This window comes from Homo sapiens, chromosome 15 (genome assembly GCF_000001405.40).
Source record: "Homo sapiens chromosome 15, GRCh38.p14 Primary Assembly".
NCBI lineage: Eukaryota > Metazoa > Chordata > Mammalia > Primates > Hominidae > Homo > Homo sapiens.
In genome coordinates, this window is record NC_000015.10 from 27,031,725 (window position 1) to 27,043,878 (window position 12,154).

General features: G+C 47.4%; 1 protein-coding gene and 1 long non-coding RNA gene across 3 annotated transcripts in view, besides 2 other annotated features; one reads left to right on the forward strand and one right to left on the reverse strand.

The window, feature by feature from the left end:
- The window catches only part of GABRG3 (gamma-aminobutyric acid type A receptor subunit gamma3), a 570,804-nt gene that overhangs the window by 60,544 nt on the left and 498,106 nt on the right, over positions 1-12,154 (forward strand). The gene's annotated exons all lie outside the window — the stretch shown is intronic.
- The window catches only part of LOC124903449 (uncharacterized), a 33,128-nt gene continuing 28,227 nt past the window's right edge, over positions 7,254-12,154 (reverse strand). The window contains exons 3-4 of the long non-coding RNA XR_007064545.1: positions 8,874-8,950; positions 7,254-8,774 (exon numbers count right to left, since the gene is read on the reverse strand). This is a non-coding gene — a long non-coding RNA (uncharacterized LOC124903449). The remainder of the gene's footprint in view (positions 8,775-8,873; positions 8,951-12,154) is intronic.
- Positions 7,904-8,405: an enhancer, noted in NCBI's record as "H3K4me1 hESC enhancer chr15:27284775-27285276 (GRCh37/hg19 assembly coordinates)". NCBI's record gives its function as "activates a minimal SCP1, AML or CMV promoter by ChIP-STARR-seq in naive H9 embryonic stem cells {active_cell/tissue: H9 hESC(naive)}" and the evidence as "EXISTENCE:reporter gene assay evidence [ECO:0000049][PMID:30033119]".
- Positions 8,406-8,905: an enhancer, noted in NCBI's record as "H3K4me1 hESC enhancer chr15:27285277-27285776 (GRCh37/hg19 assembly coordinates)". NCBI's record gives its function as "activates a minimal SCP1, AML or CMV promoter by ChIP-STARR-seq in naive H9 embryonic stem cells {active_cell/tissue: H9 hESC(naive)}" and the evidence as "EXISTENCE:reporter gene assay evidence [ECO:0000049][PMID:30033119]".

Here is a 12,154-nt window from a genome sequence, read left to right on the forward strand (position 1 = left end):
AAGAAGTGAAGTCAGGATACCAAGTCCTGATTAGGGCCTGTGGAAGGTAAATTCCATTTGGTCATTACTGGAGGATGATCTATTGCTTTGTGGAACTCTTTTGGAGTCATCTAAGCTCAGGAAAGTTTAAAATAAGTGACAGCTGAAGCACCGTGGTGCTCCTGACCTTGTTTGGTTTTTCTTTGCATTTCTCCTGCGTAAAGTTCATAGCAGTTTTTGCATCTGTAGTTCGATAACTTTCAGCAGTGTTTGAAAAAGAGTGGCCATTATTTCTTAAATATTGTTTTGGCACCGTTCTAGGACTCTGCTCATGTGAAGGTTACATGCTTCTCCCAGGTCCCACTTGCTTTTATGCTTGTGCTGTTTTTTATTTCTTCCTTTGCACTCCATCTTTTGGCATATGAAGTCACTCTTCATCTCTGTTCTGTGATGTTTTAAAGCTGTCTATTGAGTTCTTGATTTCAGTTATTATGTTTTCAGTTCGAAAATTTTAATTTGATTCTTTCTAACGTATGTTAGTTCTCTGGTGCGATTCTCCATCTTGCAATCTGTTTTCTGGAACACATTAACCATGAAGTCCCTTCTGCCATCTCTGGTTCCATTTCTAATGTCTGTTTTCTTGCTTCTTTCTATTACTTGGTATGCCTGATGTATTAGTCTGTTTGTATTGCTGTAAAGGAATATCTGAGACTGGGTAATTTATAAAGAAAAGAGGTTTATTTGGTTCACAGTTCTGCTGGCTGTACAAGCGTGGCACCAGCATCTGCTTCTGATGAGAGCCTCAGGAAGCTTCCAATCATGGCAGAGGTGAAGGGGGAGCCAGCTTGTCAATGGTGAGAGGGAGCAAGAGAGAGAGGGAGGAGGTGCCAGCCTCTTTTAAACAACCAGATCTCTTGTGAACTAACAGTGAGAACTCACTCATTACCATGAGCACAGCACTAAGCCATTCATGAGGGATCCATGTCTATGATGCAAACACCTCCCACCAAACCCCACATCCAACAAGGGAATCACATTTTAACATGAGATTTGGAGGGGATGAAACATCTAAACCATATCACCTGGCAATTTTCATTGTGTACAAAGATTTGTAGAGGCATTGAGTGGTTTTTCCCTTGCCTCTCTGTAGGTCTGAGCTGGCATGGGGCTGACCTGCAGTCTTGCAGAGGCTCCACTGGACTCTGGTTCCCCTGCCTTTCTGCATCGTTCCCCAGAGGTCCCAACTGAGGGCCTGGAATGTGTCAACACCAAAAAATGGCTGAAAATACAGCCCTTCTTTTTAAGCCATTTTTACAATTGTTTTTTAACCTCTTATGTTGTACAACTTAGTCAGTAAATGTGTCGAGGAGATAACCAGTATTGGTTGGCTTTCTTCTCTGACATTCATATTCCCTGAAATTGTGGCCCCTCCTTTTTTGACTTCTTGGCCAGTTTTTCCCTCAAGCTCTCCCGGGTTCTTTATTCTCTCTGTCCAGGTTTTCACATTACGTGCCCTGTCAGCAGAAGACAAGTTCTCGGGGGAAGTGGCGTGCAGGAAATGTTTACCATGGTGAGCCTGCTGCCTCTGTTTTGGCTTCTTCAGATGGATTTTTGCTTAGCTTTCTCGCTTGCTCTTAGTGAGGGTGCCAGTCTACTGCAAGGTATCCCATCCTAGCCATGCATCCTTGATTTGGAAATTTAAGTTTAGGTGTAATAAGGATTGATTCTGGATAGCTAGCAAGGAAGTAAGTTGGAGCAGAGTCAAAGCAGATACAATCTGACTGGGAGATTTTTGTTGTTGCTTTGGTAACCTCCTGAACTGCCTTCAGGTTAGCGAATAAGAGGATTTTCTAGGGTCCATTGTTTTCAGGTTTTTTCTATAAAATAATGATGCTTTGAACGACACTAAAGGATACGAATTATGTATTTCTTTTAGCAATATTAGCTTTAGATGAAAAAAAGCATGTGGCCCTTTTCAGTTGTTTAAGAGGATGATGGTCTTATATGTGGTTTTAATATTATTTTATAAAATGAACAATATTTCATTTTCCACTTGAAAAATGAAAAAATTTTATTGCTGTCGTAGATTTTTTTGTGGTTTTATGCATTAATATAGTATATAGTAAATGTTCAAAAGGATTGTTTGTTGCTATTCTTGCTATTGTATTACAACCTGTAAATTTTGTGACACTTTCAGTTTTATGTCATCCGTGAATTCTCCCCTCAGTGTTCATGGCCTTTGGACCTGAGGAATTGGCATTACTGGCAAGCTTCTTAGAAATGCAGAGAATCATGCCAAACCCCAGATCTCCTTGAATCAGAATCTGCATTTTAACAGGATCTCCAGATCATTGTCATCCACCTTAAAATGTGAGGGATACCATCTAACTCACCATGACTTCTCCATATGAAAAGCATACACAACTTACCCTGTATGAAAACGTATATGCCTGTATTGATGCCTTAATTTGATGTTTTCTATTCTCGAAAAGCATACAACTGCTCTGGCTTTGTGGATCTCCTGTTGTCCTCTTTCTGCAGAGTTAGAGAATAGTCCATCACTGAAGATTCAGGCCACGCATGTAACTCAGGGCCAGTTCTCTTAATGCTCTCATTTTATGTTGGGGCAAATTAAGAAGTCTGCCCATGGCCACGTGGTCAGTGTGTTATTTATTTGTTTTGTTTTATTTAAAAAAAGAAGTGAAAAATAATACCTTTGCACATTAAGTGTGTGTGTTCAAGATTTGTTTCATCACTGGAAGAATAACTCTTTCCACACTAATAACAATAGGAACAATAATATTTAAGGTATACATGTTAGTAAGTAAAACAATAGAGAATAGCCTGGAGGAGCCACACAAGCTTTGTGGGAATGATCTCTGCAAATTAAAAAAAAAATCTCCAAGAACAAAAAAGAAGATGACACTTAAAGGCTTTCGAGCCTGAGATCCATCGAGTCTTGTGTGGCAGATGCCCATGAGCCCTGGACCAAGGCCCACATGTCTTTTTGGTCACTTACTTACCCCAATCATCCAGTCCAGAGGCCCTTGTAAATATGTGTCAAGTGAGTGAATGGATAACAGTCCTTATCTCCCTCTGCCTCTCACGTGCATGCCTGCTAGTCTGTTTTTGTGTGTGAACACATCCTGCTCTACATGCCTGTACACTACTGTCTTCAGTTCACAATTTCCTTAGTTAATAGGCTTCTTTTGCTCCAGTAGTCTTAGCTAACACTGTGTCCAGGGCTTCTGTTGTTTTGAGGATGTAATCCTGACATTAAACCTATGAGGCCATGGCTGTCAGCACCTGAACTCACAGGTAATGGAGCAACGCAGCTTAGGAGACGCCTCTGAGAGTTCATAGGCCGTCCATCTGGAAGATGAAAGGACCACCACGCACATGTCTCCATCCCTGGAAGAAGAAGAGAACCCAGGTGGGCTTGGCTAAAAGGCATGTCTGACATGTAAAACTGCTTAATTTTAAACTCACACTCTGTGTCCTCTTTTCTCTGTCCTCTGGTGTCTTAGAACTTGTCACCATTTTATACAAAATGTCATTAGAGATGCCACCTGGTAGGATGGGGTGTTGTCTATTGTAGGAATGAATGGTAACTTTTCAGTGATTTAGGGACACTGAGATGTCGGTAATCATGATAAGACACCGGATCTTTGTTAGCAGCGATCTCATGCACTGACTCCTTCAAATGTGTGAATAGCTTCTTATTTTCCTTTCATCTTGAACTTTTGCACTTCGATTGGATATTTCACAATTGATTTTCCTCATTCTTCACAATGTGAGCTACATAATGTCCCTCTGACAAGAGCACCGTCTTTATGTTCCACAAAACTCCTTTTGTGAAAAGGTGGGGCTGTTGGGTTGGGCCCCCTATTAGCACATTTGAAGAAACTCTCCCGCTTTACCTTGACAGGTTTGCTGCAAGCCCCCGCACAGGCCCCACTTGCCTAGAGACAGGGAGCCACGTGGAGCTTGCCACAGCTGAGTGTGCGTGGACAGCAGGATTGGGGAAGGACAGGACGAGGCACTGTTATGGGCCCTATGGTGGGTGCTGATGTGCATCTTTCACAGAAGCCCCTTGGGCAGCACTGTGGAGAATGGCGGTGGGGGCTGGAAAGGCTGAGTTACACAGATGTGAGGGGAAATGTGAAATTCCAGGGTGAGAAATGGTGAGTTCTGAGTCTGAAGATTTGCAGTGGGCTGCAGAAGAGGCTGTGGATTTGAGAAATATAACCTCCAAGACAGTGGGAGAAGTCAAGGGTGACTCACATCCTAACAGCATTTGCTAATCCAATAAATATGGCTGAGCACCTGCTATGTGCAAGATGCTGAAGCAGGTAATGGGAACACAGCAGTGAACGGAATTAATAAAGCTGTGGTGTTCATGAGGCTTCAGTTTATTTGAGGTAAGACATCGAATAAACAAATATGCACACTGTTATTTCAAATTGTGGACAGTTTTATAAAGAAATTAAACTCCTGGGTGTGGCCACCCCGTGAAGGTTTCCTTTATAGAATTTGGGCCGGGCAGGAGAGGGGAGGAAGCTTCGACATGAGAGCTCCTAGGCGCCAGATCACAGGGGAGCCCTGCAGACCAGTGTGAGGGGCCTGCGTTTTGTTCTGGGCTCTGGAAGAAGCCTATGCAAGGTAGTAAGCAGGGAAATTGTGTAACGTGTTTCACTTTCAGATGCCGGCCGGGCGCGGTGGCTCATGCCTATAATCCCAGGACTTGGGAAGCTGAGGCGGGCGGATCATGAGGTCAGGAGTTGGAGACCAGCCTGACCAACATGGTGAAATACCGTCTCTACTAGAAATACAAAAATTAGCTGGGCTTTGTGGCATGCACCTGTAATCCCAGCTACTCAGGAGGCTGAGGCAGGAGAATCGCTTGAACCTGGGAGGCAGAGGTTGCAGTGAGCTGAGATTGCACCATTACGCTGCAGGCTGGGCGACAGAACAAGACTCCATCTCAAAAATAATAATAATACTAATAATGCTGTACACTGACTATGTGAGGGGTTGAAAGGCCAGCCTTCCTTGACCTCAGTTCCTTGGAGACAGTAGAATACAGCTATGAATCTTGTTGATGGAGCCTTTCATATGTTGAATTATGTCCCCCACAAAAGGTATACGTTGAGTCTCATCCTCCAGTTCCTTAGAATGTGACTTTATTTGGAAATAGAGTCATTGCAGATGTAATTTATTAAGATCATTCTGGAGAAGGGTGGCCCCTACTGCAGTATGACTGATGTCCTTATGAAGAAGGGAGATTTGGAAACGACTCACACACTCACAGGGAGAACACCAGGTGAAGAAGGAGACAGAGATCAGGGTGATCCTCTATAAGCCAAGGAACACCAAAGATACCAGCAAATACCAGAAGCCAGGGCAGAGCCCTGGAGCAGCTTCTCCCTCACAGCCCCCAGAGAGCACCAGCCCTGCTGACACCTTGATCTCGGCCTTCCACCTTCCAGAACCCGGAGAGAAAACACATTTGTTGTGTGAGCCCCGGGCAGTGGTGCTGCATTACCGTAGCAGCCCAGCACTAGCACTAACACAGGCCTAGCCTACATTTCGCAGGTCCTGTCCATATATAAGAGATTCTGTAAGAATTGAAGAAACAGGAGAGAAACACAAAGGGTGGCTCGACAGTCAACAGGGACAGGTTTATTTTCAATAAACCTGAGAGGGTCGACTGGCTAAGTTAGGTCAGAGGCACTCTGTCTTATAGACTAAGAGTTTGTAAGGATTCAGGGTGGGAGAGTTTATCAGAGTCTTGGACTGCTTCTGTGCCTCTTTGTTGTGCTTATCTGGGAGGGAGAGTTGTGTGTCTCTTCCCATACATCTTTCTGCAGCTGCAGGCATATCCCCTGAGTCTGCTTTTAGCTTCCCTATCTTAGTACACCTGAAGGAAAAGGAAGGTGCTTATTAAGGGCCACTGTTTTACTGGGGCCCATTGGATGAGGGCAAAGTTTGGCAGTTACGCAAGAGACTTTCCTCCCACCTCCTTCTGTGCCCGAGCTGTCTTATCTGTGTTTTACTGTCTGCTCTTTCTGGCTGCTGGTAGTTAGAAGAGAAGTGATTTCCTTGAAATGAAGGAGTCTAGAAAGGGAGCTGGAGTTTAAAGTGACAGTGTTTGTCCAAGATCATGGTGCTCCTGCTCTGTCAGATTCCTACTTTCCACATGCCACCAACTTGCTGCTTGCCTGGGAGGCTGCATTTCACCCTTGCCCTCACCCCGTCCCCAGCATGCAGGGTCCCAGCCAGGCTCTGGCCAGCAGATGCAGGGAAGAGCCTGCAGCATCCCTCTGTGTGCAGCTGCTTAGCAAGGTCGAGAGCTGTCCCGATCGGGTCCTGGTCCATGCTCCGTAACTAGTCCCAGAACAGCCCCATCTCAGTCCGGTTGGCCACTGTAACAAATACCTTAGACTGGGTAGTTTACATACTGCAGACATTTATTGCACACAAGTCTAAGACTGGGAAGTCCAAGTCTAAGACTGGGAAGTCCAAGATCAAGGTGCTGGCAGGTGCAGCGTATGGTGAGGGCTGCTCTCTGCTTCTGTGGTACTTTCTGTGTGTCGTCACATGGTGCAGGGGACATAAATGTGAAGGACGACCTTCCTTCATGTCTGCATGGTCTCTCAGTCATGTCATTCTGTACCAAGGTCTTATTACTCCCCAAACCCAGGCATTCTTTTGAGGCATCAAATTCTGAGGCTGGGAGTTTGATGAGTTTCTTGCCTCTCCTGTCCCGTGGTAGGTGTGCCCACCACCTGTGGACACTGGTGCTGCTCACCACACTCTTCCCTGGCACCACGCTCTTCTCCTGGACACCACCGGCTTCCCTTCCCTGTGTTAGGGTTGGCAGAGCCTGAAAAGCTGGGAAAGTGGCACAGACTGTGTCGATATCTTTCCCACTTTGTGAATGACCTCCTCATATTCTCCAGGACCAACCAAGCTCTTGGGGCCTGGGGCACATGGGAACCATGCAGTGTGGCCTCTCAGGGGTGCAGGGAGCCCCGCCCCAGAAAGGCAGAGGGTAGGGGGCAAGTGTGTTGGGGAGTTGGGGATGTCAGAGTGACAGCAGAAGAGCTGGAGCTCAGCCATGGGAATGTCAGCAAAGAACTGTCAGGAAGAAACTGATCTCCTGAGAGAGGGAAAGGTGTGCCACTCTCCCCTCCCGGGTGGAGCCTGAGGAGATGTGTGCCATGAGCAAGGTGGCGCCTTATCAAAGAAAAGCAGAGCCAGCAGAAATCAAATCAGTGATGGCACATTTTATTCAGGACTATTGCAAAAAAGACTCCAGTGAAGAGCTGGGTTGGGCTCCGTTACAAGTACAACGGGGACGAGTGGGCACTGATGGCCAAGGAGCAGAGGGTCAGTGGGTGTAAAGTTACTCAGAGGAGACGCCAAGTCTGCGGGCAGTTCTGGCCAAACCAGCCTAAAGGGTTTCCTGCTGAAGGCAGGTCAGCATGTCAGCATGTTTCTGTGGGGAATTCTTGCCAGACTGACTTAGCTGGGGTTCTTGCTAATGGGCCTAGGAGAAGGATCAGGGCCTGACTAAAGACTGGCCAAGCACAGGATCTTTGTCACATTGAGGACAGGATGTGGAGCTAGACTGAGCTAGACCATGGGGCTGCCTGCTACAGGAACACTGGGCTTCCTGCACTGAATAAGAGAGGAAGGTACAGGAGTGCAGCCGGCCTGGTGGCCCTGTCATTTCTTAGCCGGCTGCACCACGGAGTGGCCTTAGGTCCCTGCATGCTGCTCAGCAGTTGTGTGTAAGGAATCCCTGCATTGGGAGGAAGCTGAATCCAGTGACTGCCAGCTCCACAAGCATGAAGTGTTATGAAGACGCCACAAAGAGAGTGCTTCACAGCATCATTTGATTCTTCAGCCCCCAAATCCATTTTCCAACTCAACTCTAAGTAGGACCCACTGTTTCCTGACAGTGCATGCAGTTGTCAGGAAAGCACAGAACTTTCTTTTGTCAGCATTCCCTAGTCTTTTATGAGGCAGAACTGTATTCCTGAGGCCTGTGCTAAAGTAAATACCAGACCCTGTCGGTGTGCAGGAGGCACCCCTCGCTGTCACCCCGCGGTCCGCCATTGAGGTTGCGTTGATGTTCCATCCACCCCTATTGCCCCTGGAATCTTACTATGGAGCTGCCCTAGACTTATGCAACCACTCACCGAGGAGAATCTGCCTCTTATTTCATCTTCCCAGGAAGTTCCTCCTTGCTGGGACACTTCTTCTCTTTTCTGCTCCCTCCATCCCACTTAATTCTTGGTTCTCCTTTCCTTACCTTCCCCAAGTCTCCATTGGCCTGGGCCGCTGCCCTTCAGCCCACACCTTGGCAGTTGGTGGTGCCTCGCAGCACGGGATGGCAGAGAAGGGCTGGGCCTGTCAGGATGAGGTGAGTGTCCCAGGCAGGTGGGGGTCCAGAGGACGCATTTCCACTTGCTGTGTTCGGGGTGGCCCATGACAGGTGCTGAGCTGCCAGGCTTCCGTCCACAGAAACCAATCTGACTGTAACTTCTTTGTCCCTTGAAGAGCCCTTGAGATGCAGCCAGGGTACAGAGCAGGCAAATCAAATGGCTGGTCGTTGCAAGCAGGCAGGCAGCTCCTGTGCTTCCCATAGGGCATAGCTGACTGCTCCCAAGTCACTGGGTGTGTCCAGAGGAGAGTGAGTTGCTGGGGGTTGGATGGGGTGGGGAAATACACACATGGGTTGGCCTCTCTGGTCTCATCCAAGATGAATGTCCTATGATTCCATGAGTCTGTGACACAAAAGGAAAATTTGATTTTATAATACAGAAGAAAGTCTTTTAAAATTTCCTACCAACAATTAATTTTGCCAGTGATTTGCAATCACTCACCTTTTGTTTCTTGATGCTCTCATTTCTCCCATCCTCTCTCATAATACAGCAGTCTAAAGATAGAAGCGTCCTTGGAACTGTGCAGGGAAAATGAATTAGAGTTATCAAAGAAAGTATTAAAATACTGTTTTCCTTTCTCTTTTCTCTCTTTTTTGGCTGCAAAGTTACACGTTAGAGATTTTGAGAAAGACATTTAAATGAGGAAAGCAATTAAGGTTTAAGCATTGGAAAGGAATTTACATGAGATAAGAAGGGACCATATGAAGTTGGTTCTCCTTTCTTCTTCTGAAATTGTTCTGAACGACTCTATCATGATAAAACTGATGAGCAAGACCCTGTTTCTGTGAAGAGTAGGCTCTGGCCTCTCTGTGAGGTGTGCTCGTGCGGGGAGAAACCTCTTCCAATATCCAACATTCAAACAGCATTTGTGGACCATATTTACTGAAATTTTTTTCTCTCTTTTGCAATGTCGAATGAACCAAAAACCACTGAAAAGAGACAAATTTAGATGGTATATGCACCATTCACAATGCTTATTATAAAACTCCTATAATTTTTGCATCTTGTTTAGTTTATGTGTGCTTTTTAACGTAAACTTTTTTTGAGGCAGGGTCTCTCTGTGTCACCCAGGCTGGAGCACAGAGGTGCAATCTTGGCTCATTGCAACCTCCTCCTCCCAGACTCAAGCGATCTTCTTACCTCAGCCTCCCAAGTAGCTGGGACCACAGGCACACACCACCATTCTCAGCTAATTTTTGTATTTTTGATAGAGGCAGGGTTTTCCCATGTTGCCCAGCTGGTCTCAAACTCCTGAGCTCAAGCATCTTCCTGCCTTGGCCTCTCAAAGTGCTGGGATTACAGGTGTGAGCCACCACGCCCAGCCAACCTAAACCTTTTTAAACCTATGCTGCAGACATAATTTCTACCATCTTCCTAGATCTCATGGTGTGGCTATCCAGTAAATACTTCTCACTCAGTAAATTCTTAATTGAACATCCTAACTTATTCTAAATAAACTTTCCCTTTTTGGTTTCCATATTATTCGTAGTGTGTTCATGTACTACATTTGCCAATCATCAAAGCCAGAAACACTTGGAATCATCTTTGATCTTGTGTCTTTGACTTTCTGCATGTGTCTGGTCACCAGATGTGTTGGCCAGGTGATCCTACCAGCATGCAGTTTGAGCTCTGAACTCCTCTCTAAGCCTCCAGGAAGACACAGCAAGAGGAGAGGTGCCATCAGTCCCAGGACTTCGGGTCCTGCAGGGGGAGGACTTTGCCGTCCCTCCCTGGTTGAGGTGTTCTGGTACTTGAGGTGGGGGATGAGACCTCTGAGAGGTCTTCATGCAGATGAAGGAAGGGTGGCATCCTTCCAAACATTCCTGTTCTACGTGCAATGCAGGTCTCCTCTTTTAGGCCTTGTTTTGTGTGATTTGATTTCTTCAGTGGAAACTAAGGCAGGGAGCCCAGGCTGACCTCAGTGAACGAGGTTCTCCAAAGGACAGAGCTGCGTGTGAGGACACAGGATACTGTGGTCTGGCTGGATGCAAGCGGCTGCCCATGTGGGTCCCATCTGCCTCCCCTCTCAGCAGCATTTGTCCCCTAGACCAGAGAATTCCGGTTGAGAAGCTCCCGAATCCCCACCCTTCGTTCCTCTAAAGACTTACACAGGAGCCAAGCATATGAAATGAATGAAAGTTGGAGCTTCAGGGATGCGAGTGGGCGGAGGGAGCTGGGGCCTCCCCTGCCACCTGAGGGCCCTCACCCGAATGCTGCAGCCCTCCTGCTGCTCGCTGACTTGGACACATCCTCCTCCATCCCTCTTCCACACTGCTGCCAAGCCGCCCTCCAGAACGGGCCAAGGGGCCTGGCGGCCCTCTGCTGCCAGCTTCAGAGGATGCCCGTTGCCTCCCTGTTGCAGTGCGGTGGTTGCAGCTGGCTCACCCTCCCTGGGTGCTGTTCCTGGCTCCTCCCCTGCCCTCCACCATGTCCCGCACACATCACCACACTCGCTGGTGCAATTCTGTGGGAGCCGCCCCTTGCTTCATGCTCCCTTGGCTTCCAGGCTCAACTCCCAAACTCCCGGTGCCTGGGTGTCAGTCTCTCCACATGCCCTTGGGGCTATGCCCTGGGTGGTGCTGCTCCCTCCCATGGGAATGCTCAGCCACCTGGATGACTCTCACCGTCGGGTCTGACAGCCTGAGTCAGGCTGGCCTGTCCTGGGAAGCTTTCTGCATCACTCTTAGCAGGGCCAGGGCCTCCCTGTGGTGTGGCCTGGAAGTGTGTGCAGACAGGTGCCAGACAGTTGGAGATGCTGTTGTCACTGTCCTGTCTTGAGGCTTGCATGTTGCACTCAGTCATAAGCTGTCAAGGGTGGGGGCCTTGTATCCCTTTCTCCAGCCACGGGCTCCGCGTCCAGCCCTGATCAGATGCTCAATAACTGTCTTGTTCTATATGAACCTAACTTGCTCGTGCTCCTTCCTGTGTCTGGAATCTCTTCCCCCCACCCCATCTTTCCAGCCCCATTCTAATACCCTCCATCTCTTCAGTAAAGCCTTCCTTCACAAAGCCCAGGCAGAATTGTTGATTAGATGGAATTTGGTGGGACCCTCAGTTTTTCTACAACTCAGAACAACACCACATTCCCCGACTGTTGCTTTGATGTAAATATTGTATTTATCCATCAGGCTAGGAGTGTGCAGTTAAGGATTGTTAAAGAGTTTATAGGAGACCGTGGGTTTAGACTGAGCTCCTGCACTAGGCATTGGCAGACCAGACCAGCTCAGAACCAACTCACTCATGTTCTATATCAGCAAACTGAACTCTGAAACAGGCATTTTCCAAGGCAGAGAAGCACAGCAGCCCGTCAGAAGGGGCCAGCTCACCTGAGCTGGTATCATAGGAAGTCCCCTCTGTTTTAACCCAAAAAGGAGAGTAACTTTGAGATGGCTGATCTGCTGTTTGTCCCATGCTTCTGCTTCCTTCCGCCCTTTTCTGCCCGCAGAGCCCCCTCCTCTGCTCAGCTCGCTGGAACACTCATTCTATCTCATGGAATGAGGCATTGCTTGATTCTAGAATTGTCCTAATTTTTGTCTTTTAACAGTGTGAGTTAGTTACCTATTGCTGTGTAACGAAGTACCCCAATGCTTTGTGGCTTCAAAGAACACATTTTTTACCTCGCAGTTTATATGGTCAGGAATTTGGGCAGAGCTTAGCTGGCTCCTCCGCTTCAGGGTCCCTCCCAGTCTGCAGCAGTGCTGGGCCTGCAGTCCTCCCGAGGC